Genomic DNA, 27,396 nt, shown 5'->3' with positions numbered 1-27,396 from the left:
GTGGCATTGGCACAGTTTGTGGAAGTCATGGGGTTATACTATTACACGATGGATTCTCTTTATGAAAAAAATAACATGGCTTCAACTATGATTTGAATTTTTCATTACATTCATTTAACTTCAAACTTCACATCATCATTGTGCTTTTTTCTATAAAAATGAGATTTTTTCTATCAATTTTTTTGTAAATTGATTATTTAAGTAACTCATTGTTTATAAAAGATTACTTTTGATAGCTCAGTATAATTTATCTGCACTATAAGCTCATGGATTTTGAAAAAATTGTAGTTATATATATTTTCTTTTTTTCTTCTCTTTCTCTGTTTTCTTTCATTTTCTCTCCTCTCTCTCTCTCACTTTATTTTTATTTTTATTTTTTGCTTCAGGAAGAAGTCTAAATTTCAGAGCAAATAAACATTGAAATAGCTTTCCAGTAGACAAATCTCAAAATATTAAAAAATATGAAGATTGAACAATTTTCGAAACTACAACAAAATTTAAAAACTAGTCTAATTCTACGTAGACAGCCAATGGCATACTGATTTGATTTAAAATAATATATAGAATAAGCTCAAGAACAAGAAACTATTTTGAAAAGTTATCAGTAATAATTATCCTGAATACACTATAGTCTTCATACTTTGCATTAATGTTGAAGATTAAGACAGGGATGCATTAGATTAATCAAGGGTTCCTAACTTTAGGCGGGTTTAAGATTAATTATAACTTTCAAGTAGACATCAATCCTCTTTAGAGCTACCTGTCTTGGAAGAGCTCTCCCTGTCTGTCAATCATTACCACCTACCAGGTAAGAAAGCCACACAGCAGAGTGCTGTACCTTACTGGGAATATTATTGTGCCATAAATTAAAAAAAGAAATATATATATATGTTTTGAAGCTAATAGATTTTTTTTATTATTTTAGAAGTGGGAAAACAGTTGTTTTTGAGGGAAGAAGCGTTAGAATCTTAGGAGACGCTGATTTAATCTGGTCCCCTTAAATAATGGTATCCCCTATAAAATATCTGTTATAAAGGATTATTCAGAAATATATTGAACCACTGTATATGAGAATGGTCTTATTATCTAGATTTTATTCAGAAAACCAAATCTCATAGAGGTTATACAATGAAGCTAGTGACTGGGAGGTCATGGGTTCATTGACTCAGTTCTATTGCTGTTTCTTTAGTTATTATATTATGCTGCCCAATAAACTACACCTTTACATTGCTGCAATTCATATGCATAGAAAAACTTTATGCATACAGACATAGTGTGCATGTATACACTCTACTGAACAAAAACAGTTTAAACCAGCATGTGGTAAGAAGTGATCAATTTGAGGAAAGTAAAATAAGCAAAATATATCAATAATGATCAATAATATCAATAATCAATGGGAGATTATTAAAATATTAATGTTGAGTTACAATGATTCTTTTTAACTTTCTTATTACATTAAACTCTGAATGTCTGAGTTTGTATGCAGTTTTTGAACAAACAACACACAAACATTTATATCTGTAAACACTTATAAAAACAAACCAAAAAGTTGAGTAGACTGTAAATCTCTAAATCTTTCCAGAGCTTAAAGCTGCTTTAAAAATTTTTAATGTTGGCCAGATGCAGTGGCTTACGCCTGTAATCCCAGCACTTTGGAAGCCTGAGGTGGGCGGATTCATGAGGTCAGGAGATCAAGACCATCTTGGCCAACATGATGAAAACCCGTCTCCACTAAAAATACAAAAAAATTAGCCAGGCATGGTAGCGCGTGCCTGTAGTCTCAGCTACTCGGGAGACTGAGGCAGGAGAATTTCTTGAACCCCAGAGGCGGAGGCTGCAGTGAGCCAAGATCGTGCCATTGCACTCCAGTCTGGGAACAAAGCGAAACTCTGCCTCAAAAATAAAAAGAACAAAAAAGTTTCAGTGTTCAGTATGTGTCAATTGGTTGGATCTTACTATGGAAAAGATTTTTAAATCACTCGAAGTCTGTTTTGTAACAGAGGCACAATGTGGGTTTCTTATATGTAAATACAGTTAATATGTATGTTAAGAATAAACCTATTAATGTTTTTCAATTACTAATAACTTTATCAAATAGTGCAAAGGTTATAGTTGAAATTCTTCCCTTCTCAAAAGGAAATTCATAAGAAATTTTACAAAGAGAGTAATGTAGAATTATTCACACAGTTTTCTGGGATGGAAAACCAGAAACTTTTCAGGCCCTTTGCTGTTATCAGGAGTAAGGGCTATCATTAATTACAAAACTATTGGAAATATAATTATAGTCTTCTGCGGGGTGCTAGTGTTTCGCTAGTAAAAGATACCTCATTGGAGCCAAGCTTTGGCATGACTCGCCCTGATTTTCCTTCTTTCTCAGTGGAGAAACATGTCCAAGTGCCCAACTTGCCTCTCCATCACATTTAGTCAGTTTCTGACCTCTTTTGTGCTTTTGCTTTTTCTATTGAAGCAGCCAGAAGGCCCCATAATTACAATTATAATTACCCAGAAGAACATTTCTGTGATAAGCACTTTAACTGCATAACTGGGAAGGTAATAGTGCCAGTGCTGAAGCATTTATTAAGATTTTATATCCTGAGCAGAGGAAGAAATCTTCTAAGAAAATGGAGACAGACATGAGAAAGGGACTTTGGGACCCCAAAATACTGGTTAAGCAGAAATTTTATTTATGATGGGTTTCAGAGATAGTGTTATCTCCTTCGGAGGAGGAGGAAACAGCAATGGCATTTTTTTTAATGCAATATTTTTCACTTCTTTTGTTTTGAATAGATTCACTTTCATGACATAAAATAAAACTGACTAAACTATAAATCTATTTATGCATACATGCTGCTCATCAGATTTTAAAACTAGGTAGAACTAAGGATAAAACGTGCATGGCAGCAAAGACTCAGTCTCTTTCATTTGTCCAGATCAATGCCCACATGCCCAATTTAGGTCAAGGCATCAGGCAGAGGAAAGGACTGGAGACTGACATTGAGATGCTCTATTTCACACACTTGCCCTCTGGAAGGACTGGCAGAGGCAGTCACTTAAATTAAATACAGATCATCAAACAAGATATATAATCTATTCCTAAAACAGACAACTTCAGCATCCCAAATCCCTATGGCTTTTTACTGAGGCACATTGCACTACTTTTTTATGTTCCTCTGTCAATTCATGTTAGGGTTTGCTTTGTTTAAAAGTGGTATTTCATGTATTTCGTGACCCTCTTGCACAAAGCAAAAAAATTGCTTTGGTTTATTTATGACCTACTAACCTTAAGCAAAACTGAAATACTTAATGTTCCCACAAGCCTAGGGATGAGAAATGAAAGCTACAATAAATTTGGCTTTGATGCAAATTAGATTGGTTTTATCCTACCCACACAGCCCTCCAAAATTAGGAAGAGGGGGATAAGAGAGTATTTATGCATTAATGACCTATTGCTTGTGACTTTTTTTCATTCAAGGAAAACTATGCAAGAATGCATATTGCTACCACCAACTTGGAATTCTGGAATTATGAACAATGTGTTCTAAAAAATTGCCAGAAAATGTGAAATCTCAGTACCATTGCATCTTAATATTTTAAAGATAAATGATTTATAACTAAGGATTAAGTTGTGAAAATAAAGATGGAAAAGATATAGGATTGGAAGGTACATGACAGTAATTGCAAGACCATATAAGTGAGCAGAAAACTAAATTGCACCAACAAGTAGAACGATTTTTCTGTATTGCTCGAAATAATTTAGAATATAGAGCCTAAAGTTTACTATCTTCTCTGACATTAGATTAATTGGAAGCAAGAACACAGAGATCCTATTTTCCATTGTGGAGGATTTAAACTGTTAAGATATGAGGTTTTATCTTTAACAAACTATGACTATGATTAGCCCAAGGAAAGAAAAAATAATTAATCACTTTATTTATCATTGCTATTTTATGTGTAAATAACAAGACATTTAATGTAACTTCTATTGTTTCAAGTGAATCATTATAAGATTTTTAAGAATTTTAATGTTAAATCAATTATAGTTAAGATTTTTATTCTAAGAATGTAACAACTTTAGGATTAAGTTAATTGTATTCTTCCAAAGACTTCTAGGAGAATATTTTGGAAAACAAAAGATAACATAGTTATGCCTTTTAATTATTTGTAACTGACCTAGAGCTTTGCTTACTGGTAGGCCAAATGCATTTTGTGTTAAGGGAAAATACAGAGCATGGAGTCTTTTATCACAACATCCCTATTATACAAACGTTAGCAGATGTAGCAAGAGATGAATAGGCATGATTGAAAACAGTTGTATATTGACCTGACACTAATACCACAATAGGCAGGCAACAGAACAGGAGTGATATGCTTTCAGTCGTAATTGATAATGCAAACAAATGAATCCTCAGTCTCATGATAATATTCTTTCCAGCAGCAACACAGAAATGCCTACTGATAAAGCATTCTTCTAGGGTTTTATTCTGTGGGAGAAATTTGCTTCTTTCAAAAGAATTAAACAATGCAAAATTCAGATACATCACTGTTTCATATTCTGTGCCTATTTGTCACTTTAAAATTTACTTCCAGTTGATCTCTAGTCCCTGTTTCTCTCAAAAAAAATCTGTTGAAGTTTTCATGTAAATAGTTTGTCTAAAAGGTTAAACAATTATTGGCTTTAAAATAATTCTAAGTGACTGAAATGTAAGAATGTGTAAAAATTTGGGATACATATTTCACTAACATTTCGAGAGTAATTGCCTTGACTTGAATAGACCATTATCACCTTCAAAGTAGCATTCCAAATTATTGTGGGTTGTCCCTCCTACAGATAATTACTCTATAACCATATTAGATGCAACTTAAATGTGTGAAATAATGACTTTCTATTCTGGTTTAGATACATCCAAGGTGACTTTTGTTTTAATTGATGGTAGAAAATTATTGAAAATGGCTCTAAAAATAAATTCAGTAGAGTTCATAATAATTTTAAAATAAGCATTAATGATAAAACAGTCTTAGAAAATAAGACTATGAAAAGAATCCCTCACCCATCTACCCATAAAGAGATGTTAGATGTTAGATGTTATTTAAAATAATAGGAAATGAACGGTTTTGTAGCATACATAGATTGTATTTACCTTTCACTGTATTCATGAACTCTTTGTGCCATAAACTAAGAAAAATGTATTGAGCTGGTTTCTTCACTTATAATTTGTTCAGCATTTTCTAAATAAGATTGTTCTTAGGAAGTTATACTAATTTTAAAACCTTATTTTAGAATAAAATATAGTAAATATATAATGTAAATATAAATGATATCATCAATGCCAATTTGAGGAAATCTAAGGTAATTCTGTTTAATTTCTGTATAAGCTATATACATAATGCTTGCTTACTATAAGCGTAACAATATTTAAATTATAAGATATTGTTTGGATTTTATACCACAAAGTACTTTGAATAACAAATTGTCCCTGTCTTTAACAGTGAGATAATTCCATCTCTGGAACTAGCCCAATATCGGCCATGTTTTTGCTTAATGAAACCGATCCTTTTCTCTCATACAATGTGATGTGGAGGTTTGCCAAACTCTTTGTTGGAAGAATCATGCTTCTTATTTGTCTTCTTTTGTAGTCTTTTGAAATGGCATAAAAATGCATAAAATATATGACTAAAGGTACTGTTGTTTCTGTCTCCCATCCCCTTCAGATACTTACAGATACTGTAAAGTGAGTAGAATTCTGAGTTTTGAGGTTGCTTCAGTGAACATTCAACGCTGTCGGTGAGTTTGGAATTAAAATCAAAACCATCGACCGTTGATTGTACCCTATGGCTAACCATCATCTACTCCATGGTGCTCAGAATTCGCTGAAGACAGGAAACCAAAGGTGGACACACCAGGACTTTCTCTTCCCTGTGCAGAGATTATTTTTTAAAAGGTCACAATCAACATTCATTGCTGTCGGTGGGTTGAACTGTGTGGACAAGCTCACTGAACAATGAATGCAACTGTGGCCCCGCTTTTTGCTGTCACAATCAACAGATATTCCATCTTTGAAAGATGTGTTCAAAATAGTACTATTGTTCTTTAAGTTTTCCAATTCGTCAGCATCTTCTGGTTTATTTATTCAATTTATATCATGTGATGAGATTTCAATGAAAAAGACTCTGGTTTAAACAAGAATAATGCTTCTCTATCTTTTGTATGCTATAAACAGAGCATGTTTTAGAAAAGGCAAAACTATTTTGTCCATCAAACGTACAGTATCATCATCTAGGTTAGCTCACCTTCCTACTGTTGTAGTGTGAGTGAAAAAAAGACATAAAGTAGGACCTCAGCACCCATGCCATTGACAATAACACACTTACAAATATGTGTTCTTTACAACTTTTGTTAGATGTTCTGGTCAAAGTGGGATAGAAACACCAGATAATTTTAGCTTTCTGCTTCTCTGGGTGAGGATTTGCTCATATAATTCTGCCTCTTGCTATGTAACATGCTAAATACGAAGAAAATAATATATACATAACTATATAACTATCAGAACACTCATGACAGTCATATAGTAGATTGATTTTCCCAATTCAATTTCCACTTTAAAACTTTACCCACTTTCTATGTGCATGAACTGCGTGGTTAGACTTACAGTCATGGCCCATTAATTGCCTCATGTTTACTCATCTGACTTTGCAAGTAAAAGCCTATGCATATCATGGTTTTTCTTAAGTGGTTTGCCTCTGCATTTTTATATAGGACATCTGTCATTAAATTTGATCACAGCAGTTTTAAGTTTACCATTTGTAATGATAATAATTATATAGCAAAATAAAATGCTTTCTCAAGTGTCTATGTTTGGAGTACCTGGATGGCTTCAATGTTCATTTTTTTTTAATGGTCAAATAAATTATCCTTTCTTTTCCTTGATCTTTTAAATCCCATTTGCCTTTAACTCCCATTACAGAAACCCATTGCTGGGACCCGGCTCTTGACCTCATCATAACCTTAAAATATTTTACCACATTCGATATCTAATATCCCACTCTGTCTATCACTTCTTACCATTCTAGTTTCTCATTCTCTTATCTCCAAGGCAACTGTCCTTTCAATATCAGTGTTGCTGAAAAATAAAATCACATCATCATATGGACACATTAATACACATACTCAGGGGCCTCCAAGTGCCTCAGTCCCTCAACTCTGACCCAGCATTTCTTCTACTCCACTCCCTCATGTTTAGCCTAAATGTTTACCTCTTTCCTCAACTGCTCCTTTCCACGATTCCACTCTCAACAGATGAACTGACTTCTGTTTTTCATTGAGAAGCTTGAGTCCATGTGATTATTCCCTCCACTTCCTTGTTTATAGCCTATGAATGCGTAGGATTCTGCCCTGAGTTGTCTCACGTGAGCCTCCTGCCTTGCTTGGGACATCTCTTCCCCTGTGATATCCCCCTCCTCTCTCACCATCTGGCTCCATTTCACATGTAACAAGGTTCAGTTTTCTCTCTTCTCAAATAGAAAACAAAAGAAATTTGAGAAAAACTTCTCTATACTTGCTTTATCCTCAAGTTACTTACCCCACTTCTTTTCTTCTTTTTAAAAGCTAAGATTTTAGAAATAGTACATAGTAGCCTGCAGCACTGTCTATATTTGTTTACTTCCCATTTCACCTCAACTATATGTAATTTGGCATCTTCTACCATTTCTCTCTCCCACTTGTGCATAACATCATTCTAATGACACTGCTTTTCCCCAAATCACCAGTGAGCTCCATATTGCCAAATACAAATCAAACTTTTCTGCCAGTTGTCCTACTCGAACTCCCCTTGATGCCTGACACAGCTGACCACTTCTTCCTAAACTCCAGTCCCCATTCACTTTTGTGATCCTACTCTCATTTGGATTTCTCTCTTTATTACAGTGATGTCCTATTTATTTATTTATTTTTAAGAAGCTCTTCATCTGCTTGAACTCCCAATGCCAGTATCCTTCTGAGACCCATTCTTAACTTTATGGCTTTTTTTCTCTTCTCTTGTCTCACAATCTTTGAAGGAATCTCAGGCACGTGAATGATGTTTACATCTGCTCAGATGCTGCAGATACCCAAGTCTTTATCTCCAGCTTACACATCCCAAAGCTACATATCTGTCTTCTGCTCTTCTCACAGACCAAAGCCCATCCATGACTACAGATAACGTATCATCTTTTTCCCAAGGGATAACACTCTTGATCTACTTGGAAACCAAAGCCATAAATCTCAATTCATTTCATGTTCCTGGACCTTGCTTCCTCTCCTTTTCTAAACATACAATCGCACAGTCCTGAAGATGTTCACTTTTTATCTTGCTAATATTTCAATTATTCTGTATACTTCTACTGAACTTTAGTCCAGAAACGCACACCTCTTACTTGGACTATTCCAATGGTCTCCTAACTCCCACCATCAGCCATCCATCTGTTCAATATTTTCTTCACAGTATTTTAAAAAGTGATTTTAAAAATGTAATCATATTGTGAAACCGTTTAATCCACTTGGAATAAAATGTTTAATAGATGGATCGTTCTGGCGGGAAAAGCATTGTGAATATTAGCTAAATGAGAAAAAGATAATATCTGGAACTTCGTACAAGTTCTCAAGCTTAATTTCAGTATATTAATGAATTAAATGTAATTTCTGAAAATTTTCTAAAATAAACGTAGTTGAAAATTTAATATCCTTGAAATGATGAAGAACATTTTCAATTTTAACACAAACGAGGCAAAAAGAAAAGACAAGCATGACTTTGACTACATTGAACTTCAAACTATAACGTGTCAAAAATAACCATATAATGAAAAGGCAGATAGCCAAATGAAAATGAATATGAACAATAAGAAAGAAAAAAGATTAATACACTTAATATATGACATTTTTAATATACAAAAAGGAGTAAGAAAAAATTAACAACTAAAGAGACAAATGAACAGTGGACATGAACAGAGCGGTCACAGATGTAAAGCAAATGAGTGAGACCTACATGATGTAAAATTCTGCTTCACTTATGAAAATTCAAATTAAAACCATGAGATGTAATATTTCTTTAGTAAAGCTAACTGATGAAGAAAATTTAGTGATGGTGACATGAATGTTCTCATGCTATACTGGATTGTCTTTGGTTTCTGCTGAAACTTCTGGGCTTGATTTTTCCATTTCCATTACTTTATTTTTTGAACATGGAAACACACCCTTCCAGCTATGGCAAATTAGATCAGAAGTACACACCTGTGCCAAAGGGACTCAATCCATCCATTTGACTGAAACTTTTATATTTTCATTCTTATGAATTTGAATTAAGATAAACATAAATCCTTCAGGAGTAGAAGGTGTGTACAAAATGTATAATTTCATGAAGCTTTGGAATAGATTAACATTTTTCTTTGTTTATATATAAAAAAAGTAAATAAAAGATGGAAGTTGGTTAGTGAAAAGCAGCTACAAGAAATAGACATGAGATTTTTGCAGTTCCCTGAGAGACGGATGAAAAATCTTTAGTCCAAAAAGCTCCAGGTCCAGAAACCATTTTCCCAGCCATCTTTGCTCTGCTTTTTTTTTTTTTTTTTTTTTGATGGCTGTTTTCAGTGTCTATAATAATTTTAATGGCTTAAAATAAGTCCTATTTTATTTAGCTAAGGATGGTTTCTGTTCATTGCCTTCAGAACTATACAATGCTCATGAGAGTATGATCTGATTTAAATGTTATGGAAATAATTTTATCAATAATTTAACAATGCTTGTAAACTTTTATCCAATAATTGTGTTTTTAGAATTCTCATTTACCTATGTATTTATTTTTAATAGACTAATACTAATTATATATGTTTATGGGATACAATGTGATTTTTTTGTTTTAGTTTTTGTTTTATGTTTTTTGTTTTTTGTTTTGAGACTGAGTTTCGCTCTTGTCTCCCAGGCTGGAGTGCAACGGTGCAATCTCAGCCCACTGCAACTTCCACCTCCCAGATTCAAGTGATTCTTCTGCCTCAGCCTCCCAAGTAGCTGAGATTACAGGCACGTGCCACCACACCTGGCTAATTTTTTGTATTTTTAGTAGAGACAAGGTTTCGCCGCGTTGGCCAGGTTGGTCTTGAACTCCACAATGTGATATTTTGATCTACAAACATATTGTAGAAAAATTACATCAAAGTAATTAACATATCTAACACCTCAAGAATTTATCATTTTTTGATGGTGAGAATGTTAACAATCTGTTCTTTTTGGCAATTTTGAAATATACAACACATTATTATTAACTGTGGTCTCCATGCGATACGATAGGATCACTAAAACTTATTCCTGTAGTCTAAGTAAAGCTTTGTAAACTTTAATAAACATCTCTCCTATCACTATTCCTCTCCCATTCTCCCAACCTCCAGTAACCACATTTTTATTCTGTTTCTATGAAATTAAATTGTTTAGATTCCACATGTGTATAAGATCATAAGTATTTATCTTTCTGTGCCTCCCTTATTTCAGTTAGCATAATGTCCCCCAGTTTCACATAGGTTGTCAGGAATAGCAGAATTTCCTTCCTTTTTAAGGATGAATAATTTTCCATTGTTTATATATTCCACATTTATTTTAATCCATTCGTCTATTGAACACTTAAGTTGCTGCCATATCTTAGTTATTGGGAATAAAGTTGGAGTGAACATGAGATTGTCGATGTCTGTTTGATGTACCAATTTTCAATTCCTTCAGATATATACCCAAAACTGAGATTGCTGGATCATACGGTAATTCTCTTTTTAGTATTTTGAGGAACCTCTCTACTATTTTCCAAAATGGCTATACTAATTATTTACATTCCCCTCAACAGTATACAAGGGCTCTCTTTTTCTCCACATCCTCACCAACACTTCTCATTTGTTTTTTTGACAATGGTCATTCTAACAGGTGTGACGTGATACCTTAATGTAGTTTAAACTTGCATTTACCTTATGATAAGAGGTGTTGAGGCCGGGTGCAATGGCTCACACCTGTAATCCCAGCACTTTGGGAGGCCAAGGCGGGCAGATCATGAAGTCAAGAGATCGTGACCATCCTGGCCAACATGGTGAAACCCTGTCTTTACTAAAAATACAAAAATTAGATGGGCATGGTGGCACATGCCTGTAGTCCCAGTTACTCAGGAGGCTGAGGCAGGAGAATCACTTGAACCCAGGAGGCAGAGGTTGCAGTGAGCTGAGATCACACTACTGCACTCCAGTCTGATGATAGAGTGAGACTCTGTAAAAAAAAAAAAAAAAAAAAAAAAAAAAAGGTGTGAATGTTGGCCATGTGTGTATCTTCTTTTGGTAAATGTTTGTTCAGATCCTTTACCCATTTTTAATTAGGTTTTTTTCTTTTCTTGCTATTGAATTGTTTAAATTGGAATGCCTTACATGTTATGGATCTTAACCTGTTACCAGATATATAGTTTGGAAATACTCTCTTCCAGTCCATGGATGAGAATATATATATATATATATATATACACACACACACATTATTATATATCTATATATCACTTATGTGTCTCTTCACTCTCATAATTGTTTTCTTTGCTCTGCAGAAACAACTTAGTTTAATGCCATCCCACTTGTCTATTTTTGTTTTTGTTGTTTTTGCTTTTGGGGTAATAGCCAAGAAGTCGTTGCTCAGACCAATGTTATGGAGATTTTTCTCTCTGTTTTCTTCTAAAAGTTCTAGTTTCAGGTCTTATATTTCAAGTCCTTTATCCATTTTGGGTTGATGTGAGTGTGTGGTATAAGATAAGGGTCCAATTTTATTCTTCTGCAAGTGGCTATCCAGTTTTCCCAACACCATTTGTTGAAGTAGTTGTCTTTCCCCCATTGTGTGTTCTTGGCACCTTTGTCAACAATCAGTTGACCATAAGTAGTTGGGTTTATTACTGGGCTTTCTTGTTTCTTTGGTTGATGTGTCTGTTTTAGGCCAGTACGATGCTGTTTTTGATTGCAATAGTTTTATGAAATCTTTTGAAATTAGGAAGTGTGATGTTTTAAAATGTATTTATGTATGTATGTATGAAGAGATTCAAAGCAGCATTATTTTAAAACTTTTAATAATAGCAAGCTAAATGTTCAAAAACGAGGAGCGGGAAAATGAATTATGACATGTATGATGGAAAATAATAATAACTGTATTTTAATTAAAAATCATGCTTATATTTAAGTATAAATTTTTCAGAACTCAGATAGAGAGTTAAATTCCAACTTACTAGAAGAGTAATCATGGAGAAATTAATTTTCCTAAGCTTAAATTTGTTCAACTATATAATTTGTATAATATTCCCTACCTGAACATTGTTGCTTTCAGGATAAATGAAATAATCCATACAATGACTTTAGCATAGTGCCTGATGTTTAGTAAATATTTAGTAGTAGTAGTAGACTCTATTCCTGTGCATGATCATACCGCTATACATAACAAGTTATGTTTTTTTCTTTAACTCTTAGTGCTGGAATTTTGACCATTTTCTATCATATTCATTATATCTTCTACATTTCTGAGATAAAAACGTGTTACTTATACTCTTTTTAATAATAGTAAGCTACTAAATGATTTTATTTTAAAAATATCTTTATCATTAAATTCCAAATGTATTTGTTTATTGAACTAAAAGCCCTCCAAAGTGCTAGAACTCTAATACCTACTAGTCACAGGGCATTGATGACAGCATTTAAAATTATTAAATGTTATAAAGCACGCATTTATTTAAACATAAACAACACACACACAGAGAATGATACAATGCTTTATAAAAGCGCTTTATTTAACTTTATTCTCATTCTAAATCTGAAGATAAACTCAGGTCCAAAATTTTAAGGTAAATAAGCATAAGTAACAATGAGTTAGTTTGAAAGATTAAGTCAATTATGTACTCTTATCTTTTATATTTCCTCTGAAGGAATTTGAGTGCTTGACAGTTAAATGATATAAAGTTCATTGATGAAAATTCCATTTAATAGTATACTTTTCATGTACATGGACTGGAATTCATAACATAAAATATTAAAATGTTTAATTGACTACTCATTTGGCTTTGAATGTTGCTTTTGATTTTTCATAACATAACATAATCATTAATAATATAATGATTATTATTTCTGTAACTTGATCAGTTACAAACTTTACCAGTTTTTTAATGAAAAATAATAAGAATCAAGTCATAACTCACATGCTAGGATGTGCTTTTAAGTAATAATGGGCAGTCATTGCCCAATGGTAGCATCAAGATATCTTAAGAAAGGTGTATAAAAAATTAAAATGTATTTCAAATATTTAAAGGAATTATTATAAGTGGGTATCTTTTATCAATAATCTTTCTTTTCCAGATAGTTTGAAAAGAAGAGAGAGTCTAATTTTCATTTGTGATTTCCTTTCATGACCAGTCATTACAAAACTTTAGTTTAGTTAAAAATTTCTCTTGATTTTTGTCTAGATTTTGCCTTTTTGAGAAAATTTTATTTTCAAGTTTTCTCCCTTTTTTTGTTTTGTTTTAAGCTGACAACATACGCCTCTTTACTGTTTTAAAAGACTCTAGGTATTGGTTCAAAAAAATACAACACAAGTTGTTCTTCACTTTTTATTTGTTTGTTTATTTATTTTTGAGACAGACTCTTACTCTGTTGCCAAGGCTGGAGAGCAATGGTGCAATCTCAGCTCACTGCAACCTCCGCCTCCTGGGTTCAAGTGATTCTCCTGCCTCAGCCTCCTGAGTGAGTAGTTGGGATTACAGGCATGTGCCACCATGCCGGCTAATTTTGTATTTTTAGTACAGACGAGGTTTCACTGTGTTGGCCAGGCTGGTCTCCTGGCCTCAGGTGATTGGCCTGTCTCAGCCTTCCAAAGTGCTAGTATTACGGGCTTGAGCCACCATGCCTGGCCTATTCTTCACTTTTGATCAATATGCAAAATAAAGTTAAATGGGATTATTATTTACTTTATTTAATTCACACAATGATATGGCTACATGGTCTCCTTTAATCCTCACAAGAACCATTTGAGAAAGGAAATACTATTCTAAAGTTGAGCACAAGATAATAAAAATATGTCTGATGCCACAGAACTGATAAGAGTGATGGCTCTAAGCTATGTTATCTACTTTACATTCAAATTTTGAGAATTTAGCTTGTAGTGAATAACTATTTCTAAGAAAAGAAGAATAGTGTATTCCTTTAAAAACAATAGCTAAGCTTGACTTCTTTGTCACTGGGATTTAGGGCATGATAAACATGTGATCCAAGAACAAAGTTTATACCCTCAGACTACATATTTGGAAACATGACATGCCAATTCAAGTGATTTAAGTCCTGGTTTTCCTTATTAATCATAGAAAAAAAATTTCTACAAGTCAGAGGATTTACCTGCTTTGTTTGCTGCTCTAAGCCTGGCACCAACAACGATGTCAAACATACAATAGGAGCTCAATAAATATTAGTTGAATGAATGAGTCAAGAATGAATCTACTCATAAAGCATATAATCCAGTGCTTTAGGTCTGATGCTGTGAGTCAAAGTTGAGTTGTGGGTGTCTCAGAAAACTACATACAAAGCATGGCATTTATTTCCACTGGAGTCATAGCTTTTACTTATATATTTACCATATGAGAATTTACCTACTATATTTCTTCCTATCTAAGAAATAATTAATGGCAAGACAAACCATCATTGAATGAAGTAGTGAAAGAAGAAAAGAAAGAGAGAAAGAGAAAGAAAGAAAAGAAAGAAATCCTCACTGTTATAATCGTAAAATGCCTTGAATCATAAAACACATCTTAGTTTCAGAGATGTTAAAATGTGAAAGATACATCTTAGAGTAAATGTCATACAGTATTTACCCTCAGAATGTCACCATTGATGGGTTGCATTGTTTACATTAAACAAGGAATACACTTAAATCTGAAAAAGTAATATAAGGAAGAAAAAAATATGGAAAGATTTTGGAAATAATTTTAATTTTCTCTTTACCGTTTTGTGGAAATGAAATGAATTGTTTGAACTTTACAACTATTTTAAGGACATTCAAGGGTTATTTTATTTGTATATGATTTTTATCCTATGTACTGACCTTAAAATCAAACTTTCTCCTTGACGTTCACGTCAGAATAACTTCTAGGTAAAATAGATTTTTCTTAATTTCTAATACTATAAATTATAGCTAGTTAGAAGCAGTAGCATTTATGTTGCAGACATATTTGTGTTTTTCCAAATTATTTCTTTTACTTTACTCGTTGCTATCACAATCGAATACAATTTTAAATGGTTTTAACCACATTTTCAAGTTCACTCATTCTTCCTGCTCCTTCTAAGAAAGCTGATTGTGAATATGCTGAGCTGCTTACACAGCCCCTCACCATGTAAATATTCCTGAAAAATCAACACCAAGTAGTAGGAATAAAAGATTTCTCTGTGTTCACTGCCTGAGTCTCCCTAAGCCCTGGACAGCCAGCTTGGACCCATGGACATAAAGACTTAGCTAGTGGCGCCAAATCCCACAAAGCCATTTTTAAGATGACTGGGTTATGCTATCAATCCTCTTACCTTAGGCAACCCCCTCCTGCTGGTTAAGTGCTAACACATGCTTTACAACTGCAGGAAGGGATATGGTTTACAGATTAAAATTAGATGCAGAATTAAATTGCTTGAACACAGCGAAATAGAAGGGTAGTGGATGGGGTGGAGAAGACAATTTGAGCATGCCAATACTCACACACACTTAATTCCAAGACTTGGATTTCCATGAATTTCTATTAGAATTCTTTGGTTCAGGTTCTGCGTTCATTCCTGAGAGTCATTTTTAGAGCAGTAAACATAGACTCTGTCAAAATATATGCAGCCCCATGAAAATGCATGTTCAAATTATAGACTTTGCAGCCATGAGAGATTGCTGAGTTAAATACCAGAGCTCCTTTAGAAAGCCAAGCAGAGTAATTTAATGACTACTAATGACATTTGTAACTTTTCAGGCTACTATAATAAGAGTAATCAGATCTCAGGCTTCAGGATGTAACATGATCACCTGTGCTTTTCAGAAAAGAATTTCTGTACACATCGACAGTATTGTACAGCTGGCCAAGCACATTACTGGTAATGTCAGAAGAAAGGGGAGGACAGATAGCCTTTCTCCAAATCATTAAATTCCTTTTGCAACTGGTAAGCACATACTAATATAGCAATTAAGATAGATTCATCTATATTCTGTCAAAAATATCAGCCATTGCCTGAAAACCTAAGAACTAAACAACTAGAAAAGAAATAAATAAGTTCATAACATGTTCTTTCCTGGTTTTTAATATGAAGTCATGAAATAAAAAATTATTTATTCATTCATTCAACAAATATGTGCTGAGAGGCCATTTATTTAATGGCATGTTGCTAAGTGTTGGGGGAGATACCATGGTAAGCACAGACATACTACTTTCTGAAAGCTTGAAGTCTAGTGGCAGAGAAAGATATCAATCACACAGTTATATAAACAGAGGGCTCTTAAGTAAAGGCCTAGAGAATAAAAGGAACTAGGAAAAGTTACAGATTTTTACGTGCTAGACAGGGAAACTGTTGGTAATGTTCTAAATAAGAATTGAAAAGGAGCTCTCTGGATAAGCTAAATGAGTCCAAGGTCTATACATGGTTGGATAAAACAAATCTTATAGTTTATTCATTGGTAAAGAATCTTCACTTAGGTCCAGTAAATGTTTGGTGTACTCAGGTTATTCAAAGTTCATAGTCTTTGGGTCAGGTCTGGTGACTCACTCCTGTAATCCCAGCATTTTGGGAGGCCAAGTAGGGTGGATCCCCTGAAGTCAGGAGTTCGAGACCAGCCTGGCCAATATGGTGAAACTCCATCTCTACTGAAAAAAAAAATGCTGGCATGGTGGCATGTATCTGTATCTCAGCTACTTGGGAGAATGAGGCAGGAGAATTGCTGGAATGTGGGAGGCAGAGGCTGCAGTGAGCCGAGATCATGCCACTGCACTTCAGCCTAGGTGACAGAGCGAAACTCAATCTAAAAAACAAAACAAAACAAACAAACAAACAAAAAAGTTCGTGGTCTTTTATGAGCTTCAACTGGTTAGAACTAGTTGTGATTAAAACTAAATTAGTTTTGAGATCTCCTAGGCAAGAGCTGCATTAGTGGAAAATTTTCCACTTAACAGATGTAAATAATAACTGGTAGAGAAGTTGGGGGCATGGATTGAGGATAAGGAGACAAAGAGCATCCCAGGCAGAGAAAATAACATGTGCAGACCCTCAATACTGGAAGAAGAAATGCAGTTCAAGGAAAGCATAGAGACTCATATAATTCGGCTGGAACAGAGCCTCCCAGGAGGCTGCTGTTACCTGAGGCTAAGGAGGTCTATGCCAAGGCCACACAAAAATGTGTAAGCCATGTTAATATTTATTCTAATGTCTCAAAGGCAATAGGAATCCAGCAAAGTGTCCTTAAATGAGTGATAGGCGCAAAGGTTGAAAGGTAGAGGATGATCTGATTTATGTTTCAAAAAAATGATCACTCTGGGATGGTTTTAATGTTGAACTAACAGGGTTTACTAGTTGAGCTGCTTATACATCGTTTAGGAGGCAATTATTATTGCCCAGAAGAGAGATGGTGGAATTCAAAACCGATGATTCCAATGAACCTGGGTGATTTCAACAATGAAAGAGAGTGAGAGTGTCAAGGGAGATTACGATTAAGGTGCCCAAATATCAAACTGCATAATATTTCATAAACATAATAACACACTATTTAACCCTTGATCCAAAGCTTTTCCATCTTAGAGATTGTGATTGGCAACCTGTAAGATAGGCCCCAAAGATCCTCATCTCCTAATATTGGTGCTTTTCTGAAATACCCTCCCTTCAACTGTAGGCTGGATCTAGAATGCAGCAGAGGTGACGGGGGCACTTCCAAGATTAGGTTACAAAAAAAAAAAAAAGGTGGTTTCTATCTTGGTTGTTCTCTTTTGCTTACCCTTGATAACTCTCTGTGAGGACAACCAGCGGCTGTGTCATGAAGCAGACTTTTGTAGAGGCCCATATGGCAAGGGATGGAGGCCAGCCAACAGCCATGTCAATGAGCTAGCAAGCAGATCCTCCCCTACTCAAATCTTGAGATGACTGAAACTTGGACCAAAATCTTGATTACAAGCCTTATGAGAGACCCTGAGCCAAGAGAAGCCAAGCCAAGCCATGTCACATTCCTGACCCACACACACGATGAGGTAAGAAGCCTTTGTTCTTTTAAGCTGCTAAGATTCAGGGTGATTTGTTACACAGCAATAGATGACTGAGAGCTTCCCAACTAAGCAAAGATTTTGCCCTTTTTTTTGCCACTGTCACTATATACTTTTAAATGTCCAGGTGCATCTCTTTACTCTTTTTCACTACTTTATTCCTTTTTACTTTCCTTATTAAATTATTTATTAAAATGTTATTTTACAGCAGTCAGTGTACAGATAGATATAATAGAACGTTTAAATGATTTCAGCTTCAATGGTTTAGAGATTGATAAAGAAAAAAGAATTGAGATAAAAAGTCTTCGTAAAGGTATCTTCTGCAAATTTGGCATGTTTAAAGAATGGATAAGCTCAAAGTACAATATATTTATCTTCTCTGTTTCATCCATTTTCAGCAAAAACTCTGGTTATATTGATTAAAAAAGTAACTGTCTTTAAGGGTGCAGTGGTTCATGCCTGTAATTCCAGCACTTTGGGAGGCCAAGGTGGGTGAATCATCTGAGCTCAGGAGTATGAGACCAGCCTGGCCAACATGGTAAAACTGTGTCTTTGCTAAACATACAAAAACTATCTGGATGTGGTGGTGCATGCCTGTAATCCCAGCTGCTAGGGAGGCTGAGTCATGAGAATAGTTTGAACCCAGGAGACAGAGGTTGCAGTGAGTCAAGATGGCACCACTTCCCTCCAGCCTGGGCGACAGAGTGAGACTCTGCCCTCCCCCCAGCCCCGGCGACCGCACACACACACACACACAAAAGTAACTGCTTTCAGATTATTGTAGTGATTATGTAATGACAGGAGAAAGACTTTTGATGTATCTCATTCATGATATTTTGCTGCTGCTAAATAAGAACGAACAGTGGCTATATAGAAGATACAAAGTTATGTCCGTGAAAACTTTGCACGCTGGATACACCAGGGCCTCAGTCTTCAGAATTTCCTCCCCATCTCTACCTTCCCCAAAGTATTTCTGAAGGGTCCTAGGAGATTTTACAAACCCAGTCAACCTGCACGCTGCATGAGCCACTTTCTTCCACTTGTCTTTTCTTTTGAATTATAACTAGTCCCATTGAGGATCACTGTTCTTTTGGCTGCATGTAATCACACCCAGCCAGCACTGCTTTCTCCTGCTGACAGAGCAATCTCACTGGGTAACAACAACATTGATGCCAAGTTCTGCCGTTTCTGGGTCCTCTCACTCCCCTGGAGTGCTGATTCAAACTGCCAGAGCTTCACCATGTAGACAATTAGGAATTTCTTTCATTTTTCAATTGAACACTCTGGTAAAATGGTACCAAAGACTTACATTTTCCCCCAATGTCATATAAAGCTTTAAAAGAGTGATTCTATTTATATAGGAAATCAAGCATAAATCCATAAGGTGGAACGAACAGACTCATCTACAGGCCATGCACCTTGCGAAATTGAAATCTGCACCTCGTTTTGACGAAGCGTTCATGATTGGGCTAAACCTAAATTTATTTTATTTTGGCTTTCTTAGATGGAGCTGCCTGCAAGGAAGTTTATCAATTCTTCATGCAATAGATTCCAGGGAAAACTTGGCCAGAATCATCTAAATCACAGCAAAGGCAACTACTTGGCCTCTAACTCCAGAGTAAAATAATAAATAATAATATATGGGTAATAGTAATAATATATATATACTAGTAATAATAGTAAAATAATAATAAAAGTAAAATAATAAAAGCAGAACTCCAAAGTAGAATAATCTTCTGTCTATTCTTTATTACTTCCTGCTAACAACAGCAACAATAACAACACCACAAATTTTAAAATGTCTCATGATTTCATGGAAAAAACATTAAATTTAAAATTTGGAAAGCATGTGTCAGCCCAGTCTTACCATGAACCACTTGTTTGATGCAAGTCAGACTGATATTCTTCCAGAATCATATATAGCAATTAATTTTCTTATCTCCAAATGAAGTCTCTGAAAGAGTGGATCTCTAAGCACTCTTGAAACTCAAGATCTCTACAATTGAATGAGAAAAAAATTGGCAAAATTATATAGGAAAAAATTATATAAATGTTAGTTAAAATCTTTGTTTTCCATCTGCTTTATTGATATGGGAATTTTTAAAATGCAAATCAATTTTTAATCACATATCCATTTATTCAACTGAGTTATAAAACAGAGGTAGAAGCATTTGCTGGGGTGCGTTAATGATCAGGTTGATCACTTGAAAATATATAGCTGAGATGAGAAAAAAATAAAACTCCAAATAAAATAAAATAGAAAATACATATTAAGGCAGGATAAGTATAAAAAAGATGTGAAAGAAATGATAATAAAAGGAAACAAATGTAATCCTGATGTTTCCATTTTTTGTACCATCTCATTTCTACTCTTTGAGGAAGTAAGCAGCAGGTTCTGGTTTCTTGATGTTTTCCTTCACACTCGTAATTCCCAGTGAGATGGAAAAAAGATTCCAGGCCAACTGATAAAAAAGGAGAACTGACAAAGACTTCAGATTTTTCGCATTGGCCTCGAATTTTATTTCCAATGATTTTATACCAAAAAATTTTCCTAAGAGCACCCCCAATGTAAATAAGATATGCCAAATGTTTATGCATGTAGGCAACCAAGAAAGACGATTTTATTGCTAAACATTTGTTTGATCTTATATAGCATTTGCATGGGTACAAAAGCTCTCTTTGAGTAATAGAAACACTGTGTGTCTTCTATTATATTTGACTCAATGCTGTCAGAAGGGTTGATAAAAAATATCAACCTAAGATTGATATTTTTATTTTTTATTTTTTGAGACACAGTTTCATTCAGTTGCCCAGGCTGGAGTGCAGTGGTGCAATCTCAGTTCACTGCAACCTCCCCCTCCCGGGTTCAAGTCATTCTCATGCTTCAGCCTCCCAAGTAGCTGGGATTACAGGCATGTACCATCATACCCGGCTAATTTTTGGATTTTTAGTAGAGATGGGGTTTCACCAGGTTGGCCAGGTTGGTCTTGAACTCCTGACCTCAAGTGATCCACCCACCTTGGCATCTCAAAGTGCTGGGATGAGAGAAAGGTGTGAGCTACCGAGCCTGGCAAGACTGGTCTTTTGAGATGTTTTTCCGACTTCTGCATTCTGGCAACTGACTGACTCCATCCAGAGCAGGACTGAACCAGTCCTGTGGCCCCCACCCAGAGGCAGACACAGTGTATGAGTACCATCCTCCACATCCTATGATTTCACCCTCAACCATTCAGCAGCACTTATTTCCTAGCCCACTGCCTGCCAAATTATCCATAAAAACCCTAGCCTCTGAGTTCTTGGGGAACTGATTTGAGTAATAACTCCAGTCCAAACACTTGACCAGCTCTGTGTTAATTAAACACTTTCTGTACTGCAATACCGTAGTCTCAGTGAATTTTTTTTTTTTTCTGTGCAGTGGGCAGGAGGAACCCATTGGATGATTATAATATTGTGACCACATAGCTACGAAAACACACATCTTCCAGCTTTGCAAACAGAATGGGATTAAGAGTGGCTCATAATGGACCCTAATTCCAACATCTTAGGTCAAGGTTCTGATTGATGAGGAGATGTAGGCTGATCACCAATCCCAATCTGGTTGGCTAGGCAGGCAGTATCAGATAAATCCATAGTTACCCTGACTGAAAGCTTGTAGTGCAGAGTGTGGAAAGAATTATTCCTCAGAAGAATGGCATGGCATTCAGAGGGTGGTGTTAGCTCGCTACAGATAAGAAGGGTATTCTGGTACAGGAAAAAATCCAGGTGCGACATCATGGAATGGTGTTATGTCCCCTTAGAGGGCATAAGTTGAATGCTTTTAGGAGACCTTCTTCATAGATAGCAGAGATGTTTGTGAAGATGGTGTAATTTGAGATCAGCAGAGTCAGAACTATATTCACCCTCAGTCCTATTATGGAGCCTAACTTTTCCATAGCTATTTTGTTTTGGTTTAGGTAAAAGCTCTTTTTAAATGTAACACAGAAGTGAGGGCAAAGTAGGGAAATTATAGGTTATCCGATTATAAGCTGTTAATAACTTTTCTCACATTAGTTTCTTTGATGAGTTATACAGTCAAGGAAAGGCTTTGGTGGAATGAGTTATAGCAGCAAGAGAATTTTGATGCCTGTTTTCATGATGTAGTGCCTACGGAAAATATCAAACAAAGTATAAAATTCTATGAAAAACAAACCATTATCCTTAGAAAGAAATAATTCAGAGAACATGAGATATACATAAGGCCTGGGATGAACAGACCTGGCTGTGTTCCACACGTAGGTAGTGTTTACATGTCAAGCTTTAAGTTAGACTCTCAGGTTGGAATTCTGGTGGTAGGAGTTTGAACAAGGTACTTCGTACTCTGATTCAGTCTCCTTGTGTCGAAGCTACAAACAGTTTTAAAACTGACTTCATAAAGTTGCTGTGCATTTGAATGAAGAATATATATATATATATTAATATATAAATAAGAATATGTAAATTCTTTAAGAAGAAAGAATATATAAATAAGAATATAATATATATTTTTATATAAATAAGAATATAATATATATTTTATATAAATAAGAATATAATATATATTTTATATAAATAAGAATATAATATATATTTTTATATAAATAAGAATATAATATATATTTTTATATAAATAAGAATATAATATATATTTTTATATAAATAAGAATATAATATATATTTTTATATAAATAAGAATATAATATATATTTTTATATAAATAAGAATATAATATATATTTTTATATAAATAAGAATATAATATATATTTTTATATAAATAAGAATATATATAAAACACCAAGTGGTGCCTAGCATATCATAAGACTTGAAAAATATTAGTTATTATTATTAGCAGGAATCTTAAAAACTCTCAGAAGCAGTAAGTTTCTGGAAGTAATGAGGAAATGAAAGGGGAAGAAAGAGAAGTTCCAGGGTCTGAAGAGGCACCAATGGTAATACTTCAGTTGAGTGTGCCATTACGTGGTCAGCTGAGTGACTATAAAGTTGGTCTGCGTCCTCTGGTGCCCAGAACTTCACAAGCGTATTTTGAGATGGGATTTTGAGGCTTTTTCCATGTTGTGGGGATGATTCCCCCACTCTTATATCAGGAGATAGGAAGTGTACTATACAGAAACATAGAGACATGCGCACACATACACACACTCATGCCACACAAGCACACACATACAAGCAGGTACACACACTGGACTTGGTATCATAAGACGAAGATCTAAATTTCAGCTCAACCCTTAACAGCTATGATCTTGAGCCTGTCACATTGGGTCCTCAGTTTTCTTATCAGTAAAATAAAAAATTAAATAAATATCATTTATTTGTGAGGCCTGTTAGTCAAAGAAAATCTTACAGGAAGCCCTTTGTATACAATTGATAAGAATGATTCTTATTTGAATAAAATGGGGAAAACAGTGGAGTCCTGAAAATTCTTATCTCCTCCCTTTCCTTGCTAATCCTCTAGATACTTGGATAATACTGGACAGGAGGACTTCCCAGGCCCCTTTCTGTTTTCAGTCAAGTATTTCAACTACAGTACTCTCTTCTTTGAAGTAAAATTAACTTTAGAAGTTGTGTAATACATCTTTTGCCTCTTCTGTGGAATGACTTTATATTTTGCTTTTCCCCTATTTTAAGACTTCTTAAAATATATCCTTATGTCTTAGCCAGGCATGGGGGCACACATCTGTCGTCCCAGCTACTCAAGAGACTAGGATTTCAAGGCTGCAGTGAGCTATGATCACATCACTGTACTTTGGCCTGGGTAACAGAGTGAGACCCTACCTCTAAAAAAAAAAAAAGTCTTAATTAATTTTATTTTATTTATTTATTTATTTTTGAGATGGAATTTCACTCCTGTTGCCCAGGCTGGAGTGCAATGGCACAATCTCTGCTTGCTGCAACCTCTATCTTCCGGGTTCAAGCGATTCTCCCGCCTCAGCTTCCCAGTTAGCTGGGATTACCAGCTCCCGCCACCACACCTGGCTAATTTTTGTATTTTTAGTAGAGATGAGGTTTCACCATGTTGGCCAGGATGGTTTCCAAGTCTTGACCTCAGATGATCCACCCGCCTTGGCCTCCCAAAGTGCTGGGATTACAGGTGTGAGCTACCATGCCTGGCTTGTTGATTTTAAATAGAATAATCAGTAAACCACTACCAGGAACAACTTTAAAGTATGATAAAAGTACAAGTGTGTTCATATTAAGCAATCATTAATAGATCACTCTCAATGATCATGGATGGCTCTTACTTTTATGGCCTAAAAGTGGTCTAAATCTCTCATTGCTGACAAGAAAGGGCTTTCCTTTTGTAACTCTTGTTTGTAGCTTTCATTACATTTATAACAACTATAGCTTATATTCAGGGTTCCAGTATTTTGTAGATACAACCAGGATTTGAAGTCAAAAGAGCTGGCTTTAAATCCAACTGCTACCACTTACTAGTTTTATGAAATTTAACCAAATTCTTAAACCTTTAGAGCCACATTATGTTCTCCACTGTATTCAGCTGGTTTTTAGAACACTGTACTTTCTTGATCATCCTCATAGTTTATCCTCTGTGTCCTTTGTTATGTCTTTCAACTGTCTTTGTTGGTTCTGCCTCCTCTTTCCCACCTGTCATCATTAGAGTGCTCTGGACCCAGATCTTCATAATCTCTTCTTCTCCATTTGTACCCATTCTCTTGATAATCTCAACCAGCCCAAAGCCTTCGCATAATATCTATATGTCAATAATTTCCAAGGTTAATCTCTAGCTCAACCCTTGTCTCTAACTCCAGACTTATATGTCCAACTGCATACTTGATGTTGCCACTGCAATATGCACTAGACATACTTTCAATATGTCCAAAATCAAAGTCCTTGATCTTCCTCCACAAACCTCTTCCATGTACAGTCTTTCTAATCTCAATTTAAATGACACCATCATAATAGTAGTTTAGGCGAAAACCTTAGAATCAGCCCTTTCATCCCCCAAATCAAGCCACTTAGCTATTGGCTATTCCTTATGATGGTTTTCATTGTAGCCAGGGCCACCATCCTATCTGCCTGAATTGTGATAGACTCTCACCTCATTTCTCCTCTCCCTTTGGCTCCTGGCAGTCTCTTCTTCCTGAGGCAGAGGGAGAAATCATTTTGAAATGTAAATCTGATGATGTCACTCCTCTCCTTAAAGCCAGTAATGACCCCACTTTTACACAGAGAAAGAGAGGAAGTCCCTGCAATGGCCCCCCAGAACGCATGTGACCCTCCACCTTCATCTTCTATGGCTCTTCACCTTGTATATTCCCTTCCAGCCCCACTGGCCACCTTGCTGTTATTCTAATAGGCCTTCTCACAGGCCTGTCACACTCCTGCCTTTTCGTCTTTGCAGATGAAGATATACCCTATACCTGCAGCACCTTCCCACAGATATCTTAATAGCTATTTTTTGTCTCTTTCAGGCCTTTGACCAAATATTGGCTTTACAGTGAGACCTATACTGGCCATGCTATCTTATTAGACAAACTGTTCCCCAATCTAACTCTCAAATTTCTCTTATTCTATAACATTTAGCCCCTTCCAATATATTACACAATTTATGCAATTTTTATGTATATTAATTGTATATTTTCTCTCTTCCCCCACTAGAATGTAAGCTCCTTGAGTGATGTTTGCTTTTTTAATTGATTCATCCCAAGTGCCTGGAATAGTGCATGATACATAGCAATAGATGAATAAAATTTTAGTTTACTGAATGAATATATATTTTGAAGTGATTTGTGAATCTTAAATAAAATAATCTAAACCACAGCACCTACCACAGTGATTAGCAAAGAGAAAACACTAAACATACATTGTATCTGTTGTCAAGCAATTTGCTAGGGATATCTTCTGGGGACACTGGATCACTGAATGTATCGTTTTGGTCATGTGGAAATAGCTCTCTATATAAAGTTCTATGTGAATTCTGAAAGCGATGGGGTTAAAACAAGGAAACTTAATTTGAGGGATTTTTGTTCATCAAATCCCTTGCTTGTTTGCATGATGATAAATTTTTGGTGTAAAAAGACTATTCATGAGCATTTTATCAAACAAGATTGCTGTAGAGTAAGTTTCCCACTTAGTGGTAAGCAGTGCATTACCTTAGCTGTCTTCAGGCTGTCTTTTTCTGAACTTATTTATAAGTGTCTCTAGAGAAATCATCACACTTTATTTTGAAGGTTTTAAGAAGTATCTGACACACATGTCTCACAGGTATTTCATTAAGGGCCTAACGAATGAAATGGTTCACATTTATAACTAAAAAGAAATTCCCTTGGAATCAAAACAATTATTAAATTCCTTAATACTTGTGATAAGCGATGCTTGTGAACTCACAGGAATCATCATAAACAGCCCTTCTGGACTTTGCAGGTCTTTGGTTTCCAGGTTGGAAATACATGGTTACTATTTTTGGCATATGCAAGACTTTTAAGAATGAATCAAATTTCTATGTTTACTTTAAGGATTAACATATACAGGCAGGGCAGATTAAAAAGCTGTAAAATCTTTGCAATTTCAATAAAAAGACATGGAAAAACTTTATTACTTTTTAATTATCTTAGATATTTAGTTCTGATAGCACAGGTGAACAAGATGCTAGTGGAAAACACGGAAAACAAGATGCTAGTGTAAAACACCTTATTTTTTTGGTTTGTTTTTGTTTTCTTCAAAGAAGAACATTTATCATGTGTTTGAAGGGTAGTGAGTTAACAAGGCTCCAGTGCAAACCCTGCCTAACCATGGGGTGGAAGGTTTACAGCAGTGTCACTTCCAGCTGCCAGCAGGTGCTGCTCTGGGTGTCAGGCTAAAGACTCGATTCATTAAGTTCTGCCACTCCAGTACTGTACTCTTTATGACAAGAAAAACAAGAAGGAACAGTGAGTCTCTTATATTTAACCCATAAAACTTAACACTCTGACCTCAATCATATAAACCAGAAGTGAAAGAGGCAATTGCAAATCTGACCAATAAAACTGGTAAAGCACTTACATGCTGGGAGTAGAAGAATATATGTCTATGTGTATGGGAAAAAGAACAATCTGCAAATTCCTCTGTTAGGTGGTACCAGAA

The 27,396-nt window shown here is 35.1% G+C and overlaps 1 long non-coding RNA gene and 2 other non-coding genes across 3 annotated transcripts in view; all 3 read left to right on the top strand.

The window, feature by feature from the left end:
* MIR181A1HG (MIR181A1 host gene) overlaps window positions 1-27,396 on the top strand; it is a 129,427-nt gene that overhangs the window by 72,531 nt on the left and 29,500 nt on the right. The gene's annotated exons all lie outside the window — the stretch shown is intronic.
* On the top strand, window positions 5,746-5,855 carry MIR181A1 (microRNA 181a-1). The gene has a single exon (NR_029626.1). It is a non-coding gene; the product is annotated as a microRNA 181a-1 (primary transcript).
* Window positions 5,917-6,026, top strand: MIR181B1 (microRNA 181b-1). The gene has a single exon (NR_029612.1). It is a non-coding gene; the product is annotated as a microRNA 181b-1 (primary transcript).

This window comes from Homo sapiens, chromosome 1, assembly GCF_000001405.40.
Source record: "Homo sapiens chromosome 1, GRCh38.p14 Primary Assembly".
NCBI lineage: Eukaryota > Metazoa > Chordata > Mammalia > Primates > Hominidae > Homo > Homo sapiens.
Note: the sequence above shows the minus strand (reverse complement) of the source record. Positions and strands in the feature narration are given on the sequence as shown.